Raw genomic sequence first — 19,942 nt, 5'->3', positions numbered from 1 at the left:
CTTTGAAAATAATGAAAGTAAAGATACAACATACCACAATCTCTGAGACACAGCTAAGGCAGTGTTAAGGGGAAATTCAGAGCACTAAATGCCCACATCACAAAGTTAGAAAGATCTCAAAAACACAATCTAACTTCACAACTGAAAGAATTAGAGAAGCAAGAACAAATCAACCCCAAAGCTAGCAGAAGATGAGAAATAAAAATCAGAGCTGAACTGAAGGAAATCGAGACACGAAAACCCATTCAAAAGATCAATAAATCCAGGAGTTTGTTTTTTGAAAAAATTAACAAAATAGGCCATTAGCTAGACTAATAAAGAAGAAAGAAGATCCAAATAAACACAATAGAAATGATGGAGGGAATGTTATACCAACCCCATAGAAATAAAAACAACCATCAGAAACTACTATGAACACCTCTATACACACAAACTAGAAAACCTAGAAGACATGGATGTATTTCTGGACACATACACCCTCCCAAGATTGAGCCAGGATGAACGACAGACCAATAATGAGCTCTGAAATTGAGTAAGTAATAAAAAGCCTACCAATCAAAAAAAGCCTACCAATCAAAAAAAGCCTGGGACCTGATGAATTCACAACTGAAATCTACCAGATGTGCAAAGAAGAGCTAGTACCATTCCTACAGAAACTATTCCAAAAAATTGAGGAGGAAGGACACCTTCCCAACTCATTCTATGAGGCCAGCATCATCTATGTACCAAAACCTGGCAGAGGCACAACAAAAAAGGAAAACTTCAGGCCAATATCCTTGATGAACATCGATGCAAAAATCCTCAAGCAAACAAACAAAAAAAAACACTTGCAAACCAAATCCAGCAGCACATCAAAAAGCTAATACAACATGATTAAGTAGGCTTTATTCCTGGGATGCAAGGTTGGTTCAACATACACAAATCAATAAATGTGATTCATCACATAAATAGAACTAAAGACAAAAACCACGTCATTATCTCAACAGAGACAGAAAAGGCTTTGATAAAATTCAACACCCCTTCAGTGAAAAACTCGTAATAAACTAGGTATTTAAGGAACATACCTCAAAATAATAAAAGTCGTCTATGACAAAGCTATAGCCAACATTATACTGAATGGGCAAAACTGGAAGCATTCCCCTTGAAAACCAGCACAAGAAAAGGATGCTCTCTCTCACCACTCCTATTCAACATAGCATTGGACATCCTACCAAGAGCAATCAGGCAAGAGAAAGAAAAGGATATCCAAATAGAAAGTGAGGAAGTCAAACTATCTCTGTTTGCAGATGGCATGATTCTGTATCTATTATAGAAAACCCCATAGTCTCATCCCAAAAGCTCCTCCAGCATATAAACTTCAGCAAAGTTTTGGGATACAAAATCAGTGTACAAAAATCACTAGCGGCCGGGCGCGGTGGCTCACGCCTGTAATCCCAGCACTTTGGGAGGCCGAGGCGGGCGGATCACGAGGTCAGGAGATCGAGACCATCCCGGCTAAAACGGTGAAACCCCGTCTCTACTAAAAATACAAAAAAATTAGCCGGGCGCAGTGGCGGGCGCCTGTAGTCCCAGCTACTTGGGAGGCTGAGGCAGGAGAATGGCGTGAACCCAGGAGGCGGAGCTTGCAGTGAGCCGAGATCCCGCCACTGCACTCCAGCCTGGGCGACAGAGCGAGACTCCGTCTCAAAAAAAAAAAAAAAAAAAATCACTAGCATTCCTATATACCAACAACAGCCAAACCAAGAGCCAAATCAGAAAGGCAATCTCATTCAAAATTGACACACAAAGAATAAAATACCTAGGAATACAGCTAACCAGGGAGGTAAAAGATCTCTACAATGAGTATTACAAAACACCGCTCAAAGAAATCGGAGAAGACACAAACAAATGGAAAAACATCCCATGCTCATGGACAGAAAGAATCAATATCATTAAGATGGCTATACTAGCCAGGTGTGGTGGCTCACACCTTTGGGAGGTCGAGGCAGGCGGATCACGAGGTCAGGAGGTTGAGACTATCCTGGCTAACACGGTGAAACCCCGTCTCTACTAAAAATACAAAAAAAAAAAAAAAAAAAAAATTAGCTGGGCGTGGTGGTGGGCGCCTGTAGTCCCAGCTACTGGGGAGGCTGAGGCGGGAGAATGGCGTGAACCCGGGAGGCAGAGCTTGCAGTGAGTCGAGATCACGCCACTGCACTCCAGCCTGGGTGACAGACCGAGACTCCGTCTCAAAAAAAAAAAAAAAAAAAAAAGTAACGATTAAACTAACACAAGGAATGAATGATAAAGGTTTGAGGTGATGGATACCCCAATTACCCTGATTTGCTCATTACACATTGTACTTGTATCAAAATATCACATGTACCCCATAAATATGTATAACTACTATGTATTCGTAAAAATTAAAAATGTATTTAAAAGTTTTTAAATTCAAAAACATTCAAAAGAAAATAAAAGTAACAATGAAAGATGCGTGGGTAATAAAAGGTCAAATAAACCAGGCTAGGTGCGGTGGCTCATGCCTGTAATCCCAGCACTTTGGGAGGCCGAGGAGGACAGATCACTTGAGGTCAGGAGCTCGAGATCAGCCTGGCCAACACGGTGAAATCTCGGCTCTACTAAAAATTCGAAAAATTAACTGGGCATGGTGGTGCATGCCTGTAGTCCTAGCTACTTGGGAGGCTGAGGCAGGAGAATCGCTTGAACCCGAAAGGAGGAGATTGCAGTGAGCCGATATTGTGCCACTACACTCCAGCCTGGGCGACAGAGAGACACTCAGCCTCAAAAATAAAATAAAATAAACTGGCTCCTCTTAGCATATGCTGCTGAGTCTTCTAAAGTATTGCTTTCTAAAGTTTAGTTATCTTTTAATTTTAGTAGGACACATTTTATCTGCAGAGAAAGCCAATCAAAATGATGTGTGATAGTGATAAGTAAAATAGGAATTTTACTTAAAATATAAACTGCTAATCCTATTCCTTATATGTTCTTCATTAAAATGACTTTATGCTTCCCAAGTATCAATAAATATTAAACAATATTCAGGACAAAAATCTGAATTTCATGTAAGTGTTTTAATAATCTGTCAAACTTCCTTAAATTGGAATATTATCAGAAGCCAATAGAGAAAACAGGAGAGAACTGGAGCCAGAAAAAAGGCATATTGAAAACAAGAAAACTATTGGGTGAATCCAAAAATGAAACTTGTGAATTTTCCAAAACATTTAAAAAATAAATCATGTTAGATTTTGTTCCCCCTTCAACGTGATTTACTTAACTCCACCCCAACAAATGTCACTGAGAACACAGGCACTAAATCATTGAAGCCAGAGTTGACTGGAAGGCAAAAGAAGCATTCCACTCTCTGAGCCGAGGAAGCATTCCACTCTAAGAGCCTCTTTGCTGCTCACTGCCCATGAACACAAACCGTTATCCTGCTTTCCCCCATCTCCCTCCCCACCTTAACCTCCCACCCCTGGCAAAACAAAAGCGTAGATTATGGTGAAAGCAGGCGATCTTGGGCAGGGCTTTTTTATTACTCAATAACTTGTAGTAGAGTGAAGAAATCACTTCACCTCTTTGGGCCTCAGTCTCCTCATTTGCAACATACCTGACTTTCCTGAAAAATCAGATTTTTTGAGGCTCAAATTACATACTATATGAGAAAATGAAACAGTAAAACCTTATGCAAATGTGGTTTTAGGTGTTTACTGCTTATTTCCGATTATCTTCTCCCAAGTACATTAAAGAAATCTTCTTAGGTTTATGAAACTACATTATTGCAGGTCCTTTTCCCTTGGCTATATTGGAAAGTTCCAGAATTGCCCATGTTTCTCCCATCAATTACATCACTTCACTAAGGAGAAGGTTGAGTGGATTAGTGGATAGGTTATGGGACTAGGCATAATACTTCCTGTATTCTTATCTGACTTGGCCATTGTTTTGTTTTTGCCTCAGGGAAATCTTAAAGTCTTAATTTGCTATAAAAACAAATACATATCAGGAATATTTACTTTGAAAAAGGGTCATGAGACTTTGAATGGATTCATACAGGCTAAGTGAATTTTGTTTTTTGGAACAAAATCTGTTTTCTAAAGCAATTATATATTGTATATTCAAAATTGAGGGAAAAGGAAATAATTTTGATTGAACTTCTACTTGGTCACGACCCATGTATTTACATTCTTATTCAATCTTTACAAGCTGTAAGGTACATAACATGATGGCCATTTTTACAGATAAGGAAGCTGAAGTTCAGTCATTTACTCAAGGGTCACCAGCTATCCTAGGTAGAGGCAGGATTAAAACTCTCTTCTCAGGCTGGGCGCGGAGGCTCACGCCTGTAATCTCGGCACTTTGGGAGTCCGAGGCGAGCAGATCACCTGAGGTTGGGAGTTTAAGACCAGCCTGACCAACATGGAGAAACCTGGAGAAACCCCATCTCTACTAAAAACACGAAAGTAGCCAGGCGTGGTGGCACATGCCTGTAATCCTAACTACTTGGGAGGCTGAGGCAGGAGAATCACTTGAACCCAGGAGGTGGAGGCTGCAGTGAGTGGAGATCGTGCCATTGCACTCCAGCCTGGGCAAAAAGAGTGAAACTCCGTCTCAAAACAAACAAACAAACAAACAAACGAAAAAACCTAAAACACCTCCCTTCTCAAAGTGCTGGAGAATTGCTTGAACCCAGGAGGCGGAGGTTGCAGCGAGCCCAGATGGCGCCATTGCACTCCAACCTCGGCAACAAGAGTGAAACTTCGTCTCAAAAACAAAAACAAAAGAAAAAAACCCTTCCTTCTCTCTGATGTAAAATCCCCACCTATTTTACCAGACCTCTGCTACTCACAGTGTTGTCCCTGGAAAAGCAACCTGAGTGTCACCTGGGATCTAGTTAGAAATACAGACTCTCAGGGTGCTCCTCTGGCCTTTAAATCATAGTCTGCATTTTAGTAAGATTCTCACATTACATGTTGAGACTCTTTCATTTGACCACCTATCCTCTGACAGAGACTGCTGGCATAAGTGGTTACCTTCACAGCTGACCTGGTTCCTGGAGGAGCCCCCAGTACCCACAACACATCCCCCACACATAATATCTATACACACAACTACACCAGCTCAAGCCCCAGGCAAAATTCATTAGCACTTCTCTTTATATATGGCACTGGCTTTTTCCATCATCATAATCTCCCAATATCATGTCAATTAATTATACAGGATCTTTTTCTGTGCTGGAGTATACACTCTATAAGAGTAGGATGGATTTTGTCCATTTTGTATCCTGTGTGCCGGTAACTTAAATGACGGTTGATTAAGTGAATAAGTGAAGTACCAGTTCTCTGGGAAACTCTCAGAAATAATCTTTTAGAGACCTTTTAATGGGGCTAGCTTCTGGTCTTTTGGGAATAAAAAGGTGTCGTCAGGTACATATAAATTAAATAATCATTAACATGTCCCTTTCATAATGTCACCGTGTATTTGCATAGGCCATCATTTTAATCACTTTGGAATAAGACTGAGATTTTGTCTTTTTTTAGCATAGATCCAAAAATTCATTAGCCAAATACGAACTCTCAGAGAAAGAAACAAACTCACCTTTCATTTGTGTTGGGTTTAGCAGAATAAGTTATTCTCTGCTTTCTCTCTTAGATTCCCTCTCTTTGGTGGTCACTAGTGGGATCATAAAGGCAGTGTGGAGTGAGGTAACTGGGTAGAACATAAGGATGAACTGTCAAAGATTTTTAAAGAGAAACAAGAGTTTCCACCATTTGCTTTCTCCTCTGTAAACGTGAACCTAAAAAGTCTGGGAAACTCCAAGCCACCTTGGTTTCCTGCACACACACATGACTCTCAGTCAGCAATTCAGTTTGCAGCCGAACTTGTTAACAGAAACAAATGATAACATGATAAAAAGCAATGGAGAGCTGCAATTTATTTTTAAATTATTCAGATAAAAACATGAAAATAAACTAAATAAATATTTATCATACACACATATATATACACACATAGATGGGTAAGGAGAGAGACAGAAAGCACAGCAGCATGTTAATAATTGGTAAATCTGGGGAAGGGTTTAAAGTTGTCATGTAATTCTTTCAACTTTTCTATAGGTTTACTTTTTTTCCCTCAAACAGTGGGGAGAAAGCAACAACACTGGAGAATATTTTAGTCCTTAAAGAGGTGATGATTAGGGCACAGATGTTAAATTTAATGAGATTACTGTATTTATGTTATACAGAATTGTGTCACATCATACAGTAGCTAGCCTATGGCTTTGAACTGAGGACGAATTCATGTATTTTTTGAACAGCAGATTAAAATACTTGAACCCACTGTAAAAACATACTCAGGGTACATCTAGAGGGTTCAGCCTCCCCTGCTCCCACCTCAGGATTCTCGGGGCTGTGTGATACCAGTATTCCCGTATCTCATCCTTTGAAAGGAGGCTCAGGAAAAGGTAGACATGCTGTCCTCTGCATTCTCGCTACTCAGCGTGGTCCAAGGATGGCAACATTGGCATCTCCTGGGAGCTCGTTAGAAATACAGAATATCATTCTGGCCCCAGCCCAACTGCAGCAAAAATGGATTCATATACACATTAGTATTATTCCCATTAGAATAAAAATGGGCTAAAGCCCTTTACCTGAATTAAGTATCTTCATGCTTGCTTATCAATAGATGTAAGATATATAGCCATAAAGATTTCTTAGAACTTAGTCTGTTTTACCAACACACACAAGAGAAATGTTTTTCTAATCAAACATAAGTAGCTACAACTTTTTAAAAAGTTTCTTCAAAACTTTTTTTTAAAATGTGGATGATTTTCCATATATGAACTAAGTATTTCCCATACATTATTCTGATTATGGTTAGTGAAAATTTTAGATTACAGGTCTTATAAACTGAAGCATTTTTTTAAGTCTTGGAAAGTACTATTCTGAAATAGAAAATGATACCAATTAGAACGCTTTAATCACTTTTAAAAATATAAAAGTGTGCTGTGGGTTATAAAAGTTTGTTGAACAATCTTCTTGACATTTATAATTGTCTTCTCAGTTGCCCTTTAACTAGAGATAATTAAAAGAAGTTTGCTAACAGTTCAAGAGTTTAGGAATTCCTTTTCTTTTATTATTCTGCACCATGGCTAAGAAAAAAGAGAGGAAAAAAGGACCTTTCCCTATCGCCTTGCATCTCTAGTCAGAGTTGAAACTCAAGGTCTCAGAGGTAACTTCTTTAAGATAGAGGTAAATGGCATGGAACCCAGGCATCAGAGAAAAGATGTATTTGTTACTTGGAAATTTTAATGAAGTCCCTGTTAGGATGAAAACTGTGGGCCTTCTTCTGAATAAATATGTCCAGTGTAATTATTAAGCTTAAAAAATGCCAAAGGGAAAAAAACCCTCACATTTGGAGCCCTGCATCTGGAAGCTTTTTTCTCTCCCTAGGAAATCTTTGTGGCTCTTTGTTTCTGTCAAGGAGGAAAATGTGCTTGTAAATTTCACCCAAGAGAAAGCGTATCTTTGCATCCACTGCATCAGGAAGGAAAAAATACGACCCAGGGAACAGATGCCAAAAAGCCAGAAACAACCAAAGATTGGAGGGTGGGGTGAGGGGTGGGTGGAATAATGAAAAAAAAACAAAAAAACAAAAAAACAAACCAAAAAAAACCCACCAAACTCAGTCTGGCAGAAAATTTCGGTGAGGAAGTTATCTGTGCCAACCTTAGCCTCAAAGAAAAATACTCCACCCTCTTAAAGCTGCTAAGATGGCAAGGGAGGCAGTGCCTCCACTGGCTGTCCAGACCTCCCCAGACAAATGGATCCCTCCACGACCAGCCAAAGCAAACTTCCCACTACACACCACACATGCATCTGTATGCACAGAGGTCTGTCTTGTGTGCCAGGCAGTTGCTTGTGGTGTGACTTGAAAGGAGCCAGGGAAATCATACCCAACTTTCTCAAACTGCCTGTTCGGGTGCCTAAGATTCAACTAGTATTGGTTCATTCCTTTATAGTAAGAATTACACTCACCCTGAAGTTTTCTTAAAATGTGAACTAAGCCTGGGAGGACATCGCATGCAGACCAAGGCTCTTTTGTATAAAACTTGAGGTCTTAACTCCTACAGAAGGGGACTCTTAAGGTAGTTATTCAAATGAGAAAGAATGACATTCAAACCTCTTCACTGCTGCTACCCATGCCTCCTTATTCCCACTTCTTACAGGGGGTGTGAAATGTTTTTACACAACACAAAGTCATTTACCCTTCAGATGAGGCAGAAAGAGAAAGATGGAGTGACAAAAGTCCTAGCTGCATTGGACATTTTCATTGCTGCATGTTCTGCTTTCAGGCTGTGAGAGAATGGGCTCACCTGGGATTCCTTAGAGCTACATCACCGTGACTGGAATTTCACGCTGTCAAAGGGGCTTCTCCCATTTGTTGGGCAAAACTACTTCTTGTATGGAGGCTCCAGGATATCACCTTATCAGTTAGAAATAGGGTTGCATCTGGGGTTTGAGAAGGTGTCAATTACTCTGCATATTTTAAATGCCCTCTCTTGCAATCTATACAATTAAAATACTTTATGCTCTTAAATCTTTCTTGAGATGAGGCCCAGTGCTTCAACCAGAAACCTCAGAGGAAACATTTATTACATTATTCTAAAGAAACACTCATAATTAATTAAATCTGTAACCTTGAATATTCAATTCCTACTAACATAATTTTAACGATCTCTTCAAAACAATTTATTTTCGTTATCAAGCTTGGTGACCATCTCCTGTGCCTCTTGCCAGGCTCACACTGGCTCGTGCAGAAGGAATTTTTCAGTATGATCCCTGATCTGAGGGGTAAAACATTGAATTGCCTTCAATTTATAGTCAAAGAGAAAAGTTGCTGTCTGCTAGAAGGGTCCATGGGTGCTGCATAAAAAGAGAACAGGAGAGAGAGAGCTTAGCAGTTAGAGGTGAATTGGAGACGCATTCCCTTTGTCACTCGTGTGTAATTCAGACTTGGGGTTGAGTCTTGCACATGTAAGTGTGCTTGCATGTGCACACACACCCCAGGGAATCTCAGGCTAGTGAGTCCGACTGGAAATGATTCATACATATAAGATCAATACATGTTTCAGCTAACAAGCCTCCCAACCTCAGGTTTCTGCAGTGTGCCAGGCAGGAACACCTATAATATCATGCCAGAGATAGCAGTGGAACATTTCAAAGAGCATCTAGGACTATTAAGAAAATCTCAATCCAGGCCGAGTGCCATGGTTCAAGCCTGTAATCCCGGCACTTTGGGAGGCCGAGGTGGGCGGATCACCTGAGGTCAGGCATTCGAGACCACCCTGGCCAACATGGTGAAACCCTGTCTCTACTAAAAATACAAAAATTAGCCAACTGTGGTGATTGCGCCTGTAATCCCAGCCTAATCAGGTGGTTGAGGCAGGAGAATCACTTGAACCCGGGAGGTGGAGGTTGCAGTGAGCTGAGATCGTGCCACTGCACTCCAGCCTGGGCGACAGAGTGGGACTCCAACTAAAACAAAAACAAAAAACAAAAAACAAAAACAAAACTCAATCCAAGTAGAGGATGTCTTTAGCACCTTTCATATCACTTTAATCTCCTCTTCTTGTCTTGTCTGCTGGGGCTTCTTCCTCTCTCCTGGGTTACCTCCTCTGGCCTACACTGAACTGACTCCCTTCCCAGGCCTGCCACCTTCTGATATGTCTCACAATCTTAAGAGACCACTCTCTTTTTCTCGACCTCCTGCTCCTTCCCTTTACTCCATTTTTACCTCTGACTAAACTTCTGTTGTAGTTCTTCTTTGCAAGCAACAGTATAACAACTTGCAATTTACAAAAATATAGATAATTACTTTGACCCCAAACAACCCATCAGGATGATATAATTATTCCTATTTTAACATAAAGACAAAATATAAGGCTCAGAGATTCAGTGTCTTGTTCAAGCTGCAGGGTGAGTGACAAACTCCTGTCTTTCTGTTCCCCACCTGGGTCTTCTACCATCAACCATGCAGGCTGCATAACTACCTGGGCCGTGGTCTCTTCTCAGCACCAGTCCACCAGGCTTCCCAGGGCAGGCTAGAGGCTCCAAAAAGGTGAGAGAAAGTGTCTTTCTTGGACTTCATTTTTTTTTAAGTACGAAAAAAGAAAGAAAAGAAAAAGCAAACAGTAAATTTGCAAATGAGGTAATTTTCTTGATGTTATATCCCTTTATTTTCTCATCATGTGACAGCCTTACCCTACTAGAGATACTCTAGTATCTCCTTAATAATTTTAACTTGACCATGTTTATTAAAGAAGGTATCACGTGGGCCCAAACTGGGTCCCCACTTTGAGAGAAACTCCACCTTGGATGAGTTAATAAGCCTGAGAGCGAAGGAGTGTGTACTTGTGGGTGCAGGTGCCTGGGAGGGAGATTGGAGGGGGATGGGGAAGGAATCCTGGAATCTCTTCCAAGTCTGAGTTCCATGGAGAGAGAGAGGGCTGGATGTAACCCTGAAGGTGTCTTTTTTTCAAACAACTTCCTGAGACTCATGACACAAGCAGTGCTGGTTCAGGGCCCTCCCTGATGGCGAGGTGTAAGGGAGAGATGTGGAGATGGGAAAGAGCCAGGTTTCTGACAGAGGGAGGCTTGAAGGAAACACAGCTCATTTGTGCCTTTGAGGGAAGTGGCAGGAAGGGACATGAAAGCTGCTCTCACCCAGGGGAACAGAAGCCATGGTTCTGAATTCTGGAGGCCTCAGAGGAAAAGGATTGTCAGGAGACTATGTGAGACATCCCAGACTCCCATAAAAATAATGCAGGCACCTTTGAGGTGGGGAAAAGACCTAGGTCTTGCACTTATGCAAGAAGGAGTTTGTGAAATATGACCATCAATGGTAACATGACTTCCATTACTGAGATTAGCAGGTCCTTGGGAGGCTGATAGCTAAATATTGAAAAATCTCAACATAAATACTGGCTAATCCTCCAGTCTTTTTTTCTTTTTTGAGATGGAGTCTCATTCTGTCGCCCAGGCTGAAGTGCAATCTCGGCTCACTGCAACCTCTGCCCCCCGGGTGCAAGCGACTCTTCTGCCTCAGACTCCCGAGTACCTGGGATTACAGGTGCCTGCTAATCCCACGCCCGGCTAATTTTTGTATTTTTAGTAGAGATGGGGTTTCACCATCTTGGCCAGGCTGGTCTTGAACTCCTGACCTCAAGTGATCCACCCACCTCGGCCTCCCAAATCTTCCAGTCTTTCATAAACAATATAACAATTCAACTTTCAAATAACTGTTTTTGAAGAAAAGTATGTATTTGATCTTATAGCATTTACAGGCAAAGATTCCTTGAGAAGACTGCCCATTGGGTGACACCAGCTTCCTCAGTATCCACTGGGCAAGATGCTTAGTGGTGTACGGAGATGAGTCAGCCTCCCCAGGCTGCCTTCCCCTGCCTACGCCTAATAACCTCTGACAAACTCCCTTGTGAAACTGAGGCACTTAGGCAGGAAGTGGGAATTGGCCCATCCCTTAGAGAGTTGAGACAAAGCTGAAAATGAAGGCAAAGTGCATTTTCTATGAGAGTATTTCCTCATTCTTTTTCTCCATGGTGAGTATACATCCAGCCTGAAGACTTAGCTGTGTGAAAGTGCAGAAGCCCTGGGCTCAGGCAACTCTGAATTGAATTCCTATTCTGTACTGTATGAGACCAGGGACAATGGATGGGTAGACAAATGGCACTAACTGTGAAGGACAGGGCCACATTCCAGTTAGGAACTCTGTACTCAGACTGCCCAGGTGTGATTCCCTGCTCTACTACTATTGGGTGACCTGGGGTAAAGTATGCAACCTTGCTGAGCCTCAGCTTTCTCGTCTGTAAAACTCGAAAAGTGGTACTACCTCATAAGGTTGGTATGAGGATGAAATGAGAAAAAAACATACAAGACCCATAACTTCTGGCACGTTTCATGCACTCGATAAACATTACCTATTAACTGTGGCTGCTTTTAATGCACTTGCATTTATTTATACCTGAGCTGACATTATTTTTTTAAGGTTCGTTTATTGTCTTTTAGTTAGGAGTTGCTTTTCTCTTTGAGGAAGTGTTCTTATCTCTTACTGATCCAAGACCCGTAACCCTCTTTCCAAACTCATCTTTAGATTAGGGGTATTCGCTTTCTACTTTTTGTTTGAGTGCTTCCATTGCAATACTATCCTCAGTGCATTCTAATTGTCTTTTTGTTTGTCTCCTTCAGTAAATCACAGAATGTTTGAGGGCCAGGGTTCTTTCCCCCAGAGCCCAGCACATATTTGGGCTTTGCCAAATGCTTTTAGATAAGTGTAGATGTGGACAGATATCCTTATCTAAAAGAGATTTTGATCAGAAAGAGGAGAAAAGCTTTTGAAATCCTACCCTACCATATATATCAGAATATAAGTGCCCTGGGCTAGAGCTGACAAGTGGCCCAAAACACAAGAGACCATGTTTTCTGCCTCGAACAGCAGTGGTTGACCTGCAAGGCTATCTTCCTGGAGCATGTGGCGATCAGGGTGATCTGGGAAGTGCACCCCTAGCCTCAGTATGGCCTCCAGAAAACATAGCTGCGGCCCTGGGGAGTGCCTATGGAAAATGGAGAACTTGGCTGAGGAACGGCAGCTGCCTGAAGAATTGAACCTGACTCCTCCCTCTGCTATTGATTTTCCCTCCAGATAATCTCCCCAGTCCATACCCTCCATTCTGATCCCATAACCTTGGCTTTAGTTCAATTTCTTATCAATTCTTGCCTGAATTACTGACTTGACTCACAGGTCTCTTCCATTCCATTCTCCACAGTGCTTCTGGGGTGAGCATTCTACAACAGATTTGTCCTCACTCCCTGTTCCCTTCCCAACCTGCCCCCAACACCTGCCATTGTTCAAGGTCTATCTGTTGCCCTTTGAATAAAGTCTGAATTCCCTAACAGGGCTCACTAATCCCTTCAGGGTGGGTCTCTGCTATCTGCCCATTTCTCATTCTTCTTCCCCCATTCTCATTCATCTTCCCCCAGTTCCCTACCTGTGAAGTTCCTAAAATGGCTCCTCTTCTAAGTCCATGTTTTTGTATCCTCTAGAATATTCCTTGTCCCCTCCCTTGTTTGTTAGATACAATGAAGTACCTAGATCTGTGCTGCCCAGATATTTCTGCTACCACAGCAATAATCATATTAGATTGTAATGCACTAATTACTGCATTCATTCATCCAACTTCCATCATTTTTTCATTCAAAGCCTTCATGGTTGCTTCCTGCATGCTTTTCTTGATGCTAGGTACACATATATGTAAGCAAGCCAGACAAAATGTCCTGCCATCATGCAGTTTGCATTCTAGTGGGAGGAGACAAATAATAAACACATGAACAATGTATATTCCAATAAAAATGTGATTCAAAAGTCTGAAATCGGAAATGTTCACAAAATTCAAGGTCTTGAATATCTGTGGCTTGCCCATCCCTGAAGTTCCATGACAGGGAAATCTGAAATCTGAAACTTTCTGAGCACTGGCATGACACTCAAGGGAAGTGCTCATTGAAGCTCATTTTGGCTTTTGGATTCGGGGGATGCTTAACTGGTATAGTGCAAATATTCCAAGATCTGACAAAATCTGAAATCCTAGACCTTTCTGGTCCCCAGCATTCTGAATAAGGGATATGCAACCTGTACACATTTTTGAAGGACAAAAAGAGGTTGAAGTGAAATGTTGTTTAGAGAGTGCCACGAGCATATGGGTAGGTGGGAATCAAGGAAGGCCCCTCCGAAGGAGATGATATTTGAGTGGAGTTGAAAAACGCAACGAGAGGAAAGCTACTCACAGAGCAGTGGATGATGTGTTTGGGTAAATCTCCAGGGAAGGGCTCAGCTTGGTGTGCTGGAGGAAGGAAAGAGGCCACTCTCTTTGAAGCACATCATGAGCCCCCACTAGTTATAAGCTCTCCCAAACCCCGGAAAGTATCTCATGCCTTACCACATTTCCAGGGTCTAGCCAAGTGCCCAGAAAATAATAGGCATTAGTAAGTATTTGAATGAGTTGTTATAATCTTAAAGTTATATTTTCCTTGGTATTTAACCATAATAGCTTACAAAGGGCTTATATTTTTGAGAGTTTATATCCTAGGGATTTCTATCCTAGGATAACTTTAATAAAATATTCTTGTCACCATTCCAAGGGGCTTGTTCATGGTTTGTTCTCTGGGCTCTGCTCCACTCTCTGTTGGCTGCCATTTTGGAGAAGATTGCTACCTGGTCCACTGCTGCAAGCCTACCACAGTAGGGAATAAAGTCATGCTGGGCTTAAAATGTACTTTAGTAATGTGGCTAGTTACTGGTTGTTATCAATATAAATATATGAGTACCAACACAGAGAACAAACCAAACTAGAAAACCCCCTGGAAATGGTAAAGGAAGCTGTTGGTTAACAAATGCCTACACAAACAAAAGAAACATTGTGAAGTATGTGGATTTAAGAAAAATAGCACTGTTCTCTCTTAACCACAGCGTTTTTCAGTTGTCTTCTATTAATCAAATTCCCCATAGTCTTTCCATACTAAGATATTCACACTGCATCATCACTTAAAGATTGACAGGATCCTGCAGCCTCACAAGGTCTTGAATATCTGTGGCTTGCCCATCCCTAAAGTTCCATGGTAGCCAATGCTTTTATTTCCTGAATGGGCTCTCCTTCTGAAGCAAAACTTTTCTAGAAGGAAACAACTTTTACTTCAAATGGTGTGATTGTTATTTTTACAAATTCTCTCCAACTGAGCATCTTTCTGGAACAGTTTTCAAACTTGTTCCTCAGTAATAACTTTTTCTTTCTTTTTTTTTTTTTTGAGACAGAGTTTCTCTCTTGTTGCCCAGGCTGGAGTGCAACGGCACAATCTTGGCTCACTGCAACTTCTGCCTCCCAAGTTCAAGCGATTCTCCTGCCTCAGCCTCCCGAGTAGCTGGGATTACAGGCATGCATCACCATGCCCGGCTAAGTTTTTATATTTTTAGTAGAGACGGGGTTTCTCCATGTTGGTCAGGCTGATCTCGAACTCCCCACCTCAGGTGATCCACCTGCCTCGGCCTCTCAAAGTGCTGGGATTACGGGCGAGAACCACCACACCCGGCAATAATAACTTTTTCTCCTTGATGCTTAATGAGAACTTCTCCTGAATTACTCTCATATAAAAGAGATCTATGGTGCTATCAATTGCCTTAGCTGATTCCACTTAACCTCTTGAGCCTGCTGATGATTGAATCAGTGGCTTAATAATGTGTTATTTTTAAAAGAACAGATTTATATTTACTTACAGCAAACACATTAAAGTAATCTTGATTCAATGCAAAGCTTATTAAACATTCCTTTGTTTGGAGAATTTGGTCTCTTTGGACAATATGAGTTCAACAGAAGCTCCAGTTTGAGTCTAAGTAGACAGAACCTACCAGAAAACAACTTGGAGATGGGCTGAGAGGTGTTGTGGGAGAGACCTCACTGTAAGGGAAAAAAAGAGTCGGCAATAAGAAACTTTAGACTTTGGAGGGGAGGGACAGTTCCGAGTTTAGCATGTGGCTGTTAAATCACTTAGATTTAACTCCAAGCCCAAATCCCACTGGAATGATCTTTGATACCACAGAGAGAGAGAGAAAGCTCAGGGCTATCAGAAAGAAAAACCAAGAGCAGCTTCATTTGCCGTGCTGAAGCAGAACTGGCTGGCTGTACAATGGCAAGAGAGGAACGAAGCATTCTCGCCCACTTCCCAGTACAACATCTTGCAACTTTTAGCTCTTGACATAAATGGCTTTGTTGCCTCTGCTATCACGGAGACAGTGGGACCCACAGATACGGCAGCCTGCAGTGGCGGTCCAGTGGATAATGACACAACAGGAGTAGCACAAGCAGAGGGAGAGCGCTTCATGAGCACATACCACACCTCTCCAAGGCCAACTCGACCTACATGAGGGGCACAGGCAACTGAGGTCCTGCAGATGCAGGCGGGGTGAGTGAGGGCCCATAGAATTTGGGTTTGGATCATTAATGTGACTCCATTAGTACCCTCACGGAATAAACACAATCCTGAATTTTGTGCTGGGGCAAAAGGAAGGAATGCCTAAAGTGAAATTAAAGGACAACATGATTTTGTGTTGGTTTCTTTTTTTCACTCAAAATTGGATAGTTAGATGAAAATACTTTTAGACTATAATCTGGCCATGAGTAATGCATGCTTTTATGTTTTGACTGAATAAAAAGCAAATCGAGGATGTCAACTAGTATCTCCAACTGGTGTCTCCTAGTATCTTCCTTGTAGAGCAAACTAATTACAGAATTTATAGTTGCAAGCACATTTTACCGAGTTTTTCTGGTTTCATATTTTCTACTTCCTAAAAAGTGCTTCTAATGTACTTGTGATGTAGATTTCTTCTTCATGCAGAACATACTTTAATATTCTTGTTTTTGGCAAGATTTTACATGAACATGTTACTTCCAGGAAGTGACTTATTAAAAATATTAATAGAAACACCTTTATAGTATTCGTAGGTGTTTAGTCTCTAAAATTATGTCAGATTGGACTTTAAAAAATCCTATAATTGCTAAGATTAGCACATTAAGAAACTCGACTTTTATTCTTTGTATCAAATAAGCACTATGAAAATGCATAGAAGATAAAGGGGATAACTTAAAAATGTAATATTTATTGATTTTTTTTAAATTATAAAAAGAGCATTCTGATTGTAGGATATTTAGAAAAAATTGAAACACATTAATAAGAAAACAAACCACAAACCTGATAATTCTAACCTGTTAGAGACGCACTGTTACAATTTGGGAGTGTTTCATTTTTTAATTTTTCTATACATATTATGCATACATATAATAGAACAGGATAATATTGCATGATGGTTTTGATATCTGGTTGTTTTCCCATTAACTATATTTTCTCAGCTCTTATTTCTGTAGTAGTTTGGAAAATATAATTACATATTTTCTTTCAGCGATTATCTTTTTGTTATTAAAAGCATTTTGAAATAATTTTATCTCTGTTTATCAAAGCCAATAACGTAACTGTATCTATTAACTACTGTCTGTGTGTAATGAGAAACCTTGCAGGCTTTTATTGTCCGGACTGTCTCATCCCACTTCACAATTTTGATTGAAGTAATCTGGGATATAGACCTAACTTATTATTGTTGTTTTACATTATTAACTTTTCTTCAAGACTTATTTTTGAAATTTATTTTGTTTTGTGCTTAGATTCACGACAGTTCTTAAGACTTTATTGTAGGTTTAACTAGTTTCCATTTCTTCCTAGTATCTCTTTATGGTATGATGTCCTAATTCTTGAGTTCTTTATCTTGATCTTTCCCTAGGTAGGCTGGATTGTATCACTAAACTGTGAGGATGATACTTTCTGAGCACTGGTTTAAAGAAGAATGTTGGTCTTTCCTACAAACAACCTTTTGACTAAGAACATAATTTCTCTCTCTCTCTCTCTCTTTTTTTTTTCTTAAGACATAGAGTCTCTCTATGTTGTCCAGGCTGGAGTGCAGTGGCCACTCACTGGCACGGTCATTGTGTACTACTACAGCCTTGAACCCCTGAGCTCAAGCCACCCTCCTGCCCCAGCCTCCTGAGTATCTGAGACTCAAGTGTGTGTCACCGTGTCTAACTGAGTATATAATTCTAAATTCTTTTCCTTCCCAGTGTGGAAGCCAGTTTACTGCTGCTATTTAGTTATCTGGGGGATAGATCTATAGTTACTCTTCATTTAGGTTAGTGGTTCTCAATTCTGGCTGCACATTCAAACCACTGGGGGAGATTTTTTAGAAATCTCAGTGCCCAAGCTCCTTCCCAGGATAATTAAATCAGAATATCTAAGGATGGGGTCCAGACACGTTATTTTTTAAATTTAAATTAAATTAAATTTTTTATTTATTATTATTTTTCAAGACAGAGTCTTGCTGTCGCCCAGGCTGGGGTGCAGTGGTGCGATCTCGGCTCACTGGAACTTCCGCTCCCTGGTTTAAGTAATTCTCCTGCCTCAGCCTCCAGAGTAGCTGAGGTTACAGGTGTGCGCCACCACACCCAGCTAACTTTTGTATTTTAAGTAGACATGGGGTTTCAGCATGTTGGCCAGGCTGGTCTCAAACTCCTGACCTTGTGATCCACCCACCTCAGCCTCCCAAAGTGCTGGGATTACAGGCGTGAGCCACCATGCCTGGCCAGACCCATTATTTTTTAAAGGCTCAACCAATGATTTTAATGTGTAGTCAAAGCCATGGAATACTGCTTAAGACATAAACTGTGTTTTCCTATCTGGACATTTATAGAATTTTTTTTTTGTTTTCCTTAAATCTTGAAACATTCAACAGGATATGTCAGGTGCTAATATCTCTTCATTAATTCTGCCTGATAACCTTTAATTTTATAAGCTCAGCAATTTCCCTCTATTGTTTATTTGAATATTGCTTTCATCACATTCATTCTATTTTTTCTTTCTTGGATCCTTAGAACTTGTTGATTGGATATCTTAGTCTGTTTGGGCTGCTACAACAAAATGCCATAAACTGGGTGGCTTATAAACAACAGAAATATACTTGTGTTTTCCGTACAATCTCTTTCTTATTCCAGTATTTATGGATACTGGAAGTCCAAGATCAAGGTGCCCATAGTTTGGATATCTGGTGAGGGGCTGTTTCCTTGTTCATAAATTTCTTCTCCTGCCAGGGTGCGGTGGCTCACGCCTGTAATCCCAGCACTTTGGGAGGCCCAGGCGGGAAGATCACCTGAGGTCGGGAGATCGAGACCAGCCTGACCAACATGGAGAAACCCTGTCTCTACTAAAAATACAAAATCAGCAGGGCGTGGTGGCGCATGCCTGTAATCCCAGCTATTCGGGAGGCTGAGCCGGGAGAATCGCTTGAACCCAGGAGGAGGAGGTTGCAGTGAGCGGAGATTGTGCCACAGCACTCCAGCCTGGGTAACAAGAGTGAAACTCCGTCTAAAAAAAAATTCTTCTCCCTGTGTCCTCATGTGGTGGAAGGGGGAAGAGGTCTTTCTGGGTCTTATTTCATACACTAATCCTATGATGGTGCTGCCTTCATGACTTACTCACATACCAAAGGCTCCACCTCATAATGCCATCACCTCGGGGGTTAGGGTTCCATAAATGAATTTGGGGAGACACAAACATTCAGTCTGTAGCACTGGAATTCTTGGATCCTCTCTCATATTTTTCTTTTTTCTCCCCCCCTTTTTTTTCCTGAGACAGAATCTCTCTCTGTCACCTAGCTGGAGTGCAGTGACATGAAAATAGCTCACTGCAGCCTCAATCACTTGGGCTCAAGTGATGTTCCCACCTTAGCCTCCCAAGTAGCTAGGACTACAGGTGTGTACCACCACACCTGGTTAATTTTTAATTTTCCTGTAGGGACTGGGTCACCCTATGTTGCCCGGCTGGTCTCAAACTCCTGTGTTGCCCAGGCTAGTCTCAAACTCCTGGGCTTAAGCAATCCTCCTGCCTTGGCCTCCCAAAGTGCTGAGATTACAAGTGGAAGCCACCATGCCTGGCTTATATTCTTATGTGTTAATTTTGTTTTCTGTGGTTGTCAATCTGCTGTCTGTTGCCTTTGACAAGATTTATAATTCTGCTGTTGTGTTTTCCATACAATCTCCTTCTTATTTCAGGATGTTTCTTTTTTGTGGGCACTTGCTCTAGTTTTATAAATACCAACTTCCTTTGAATTTTGTTGAACATATACATGAGAAATCCCTTACAATGTCTTGCTATTATTATCAGAATACATTTCCACCGATTATGCATAAGCTAGTCTTTTGCATTTTACTGTGGTTTCATTTATGTTTAACGGAGCCTTGCCTTGATCAAAATTTAGTCAGACTCCTTCGAACTCTCTTCTCCAC

General features: G+C 41.0%; 2 long non-coding RNA genes across 2 annotated transcripts in view, besides 1 other annotated feature; both read right to left on the bottom strand.

Annotated features, from left to right (window-relative positions):
* LOC105374217 (uncharacterized) overlaps positions 1-9,289 on the bottom strand; it is a 44,277-nt gene extending 34,988 nt beyond the window's left edge. The window contains exon 1 of the long non-coding RNA XR_924718.4: positions 5,596-9,289. This is a non-coding gene — a long non-coding RNA (uncharacterized LOC105374217). The remainder of the gene's footprint in view (positions 1-5,595) is intronic.
* The window catches only part of LOC105374218 (uncharacterized), a 38,180-nt gene continuing 27,772 nt past the window's right edge, over positions 9,535-19,942 (bottom strand). Inside the window, exon 4 of the long non-coding RNA XR_924719.2 lies at positions 9,535-10,140. This is a non-coding gene — a long non-coding RNA (uncharacterized LOC105374218). The remainder of the gene's footprint in view (positions 10,141-19,942) is intronic.
* Positions 9,565-9,859: a silencer, noted in NCBI's record as "tiled region #13471; HepG2 Repressive non-DNase unmatched - State 23:Low". NCBI's record gives its function as "represses a minimal TATA promoter and a strong SV40 promoter by Sharpr-MPRA in HepG2 cells {active_cell/tissue: HepG2}" and the evidence as "EXISTENCE:reporter gene assay evidence [ECO:0000049][PMID:27701403]".

Source organism: Homo sapiens, chromosome 3, assembly GCF_000001405.40.
Source record: "Homo sapiens chromosome 3, GRCh38.p14 Primary Assembly".
NCBI classification, from domain to species: domain Eukaryota; kingdom Metazoa; phylum Chordata; class Mammalia; order Primates; family Hominidae; genus Homo; species Homo sapiens.
The sequence above is the reverse complement of the archived record's forward strand: the minus strand, read 5'-3'. Positions and strand labels throughout refer to the sequence as shown.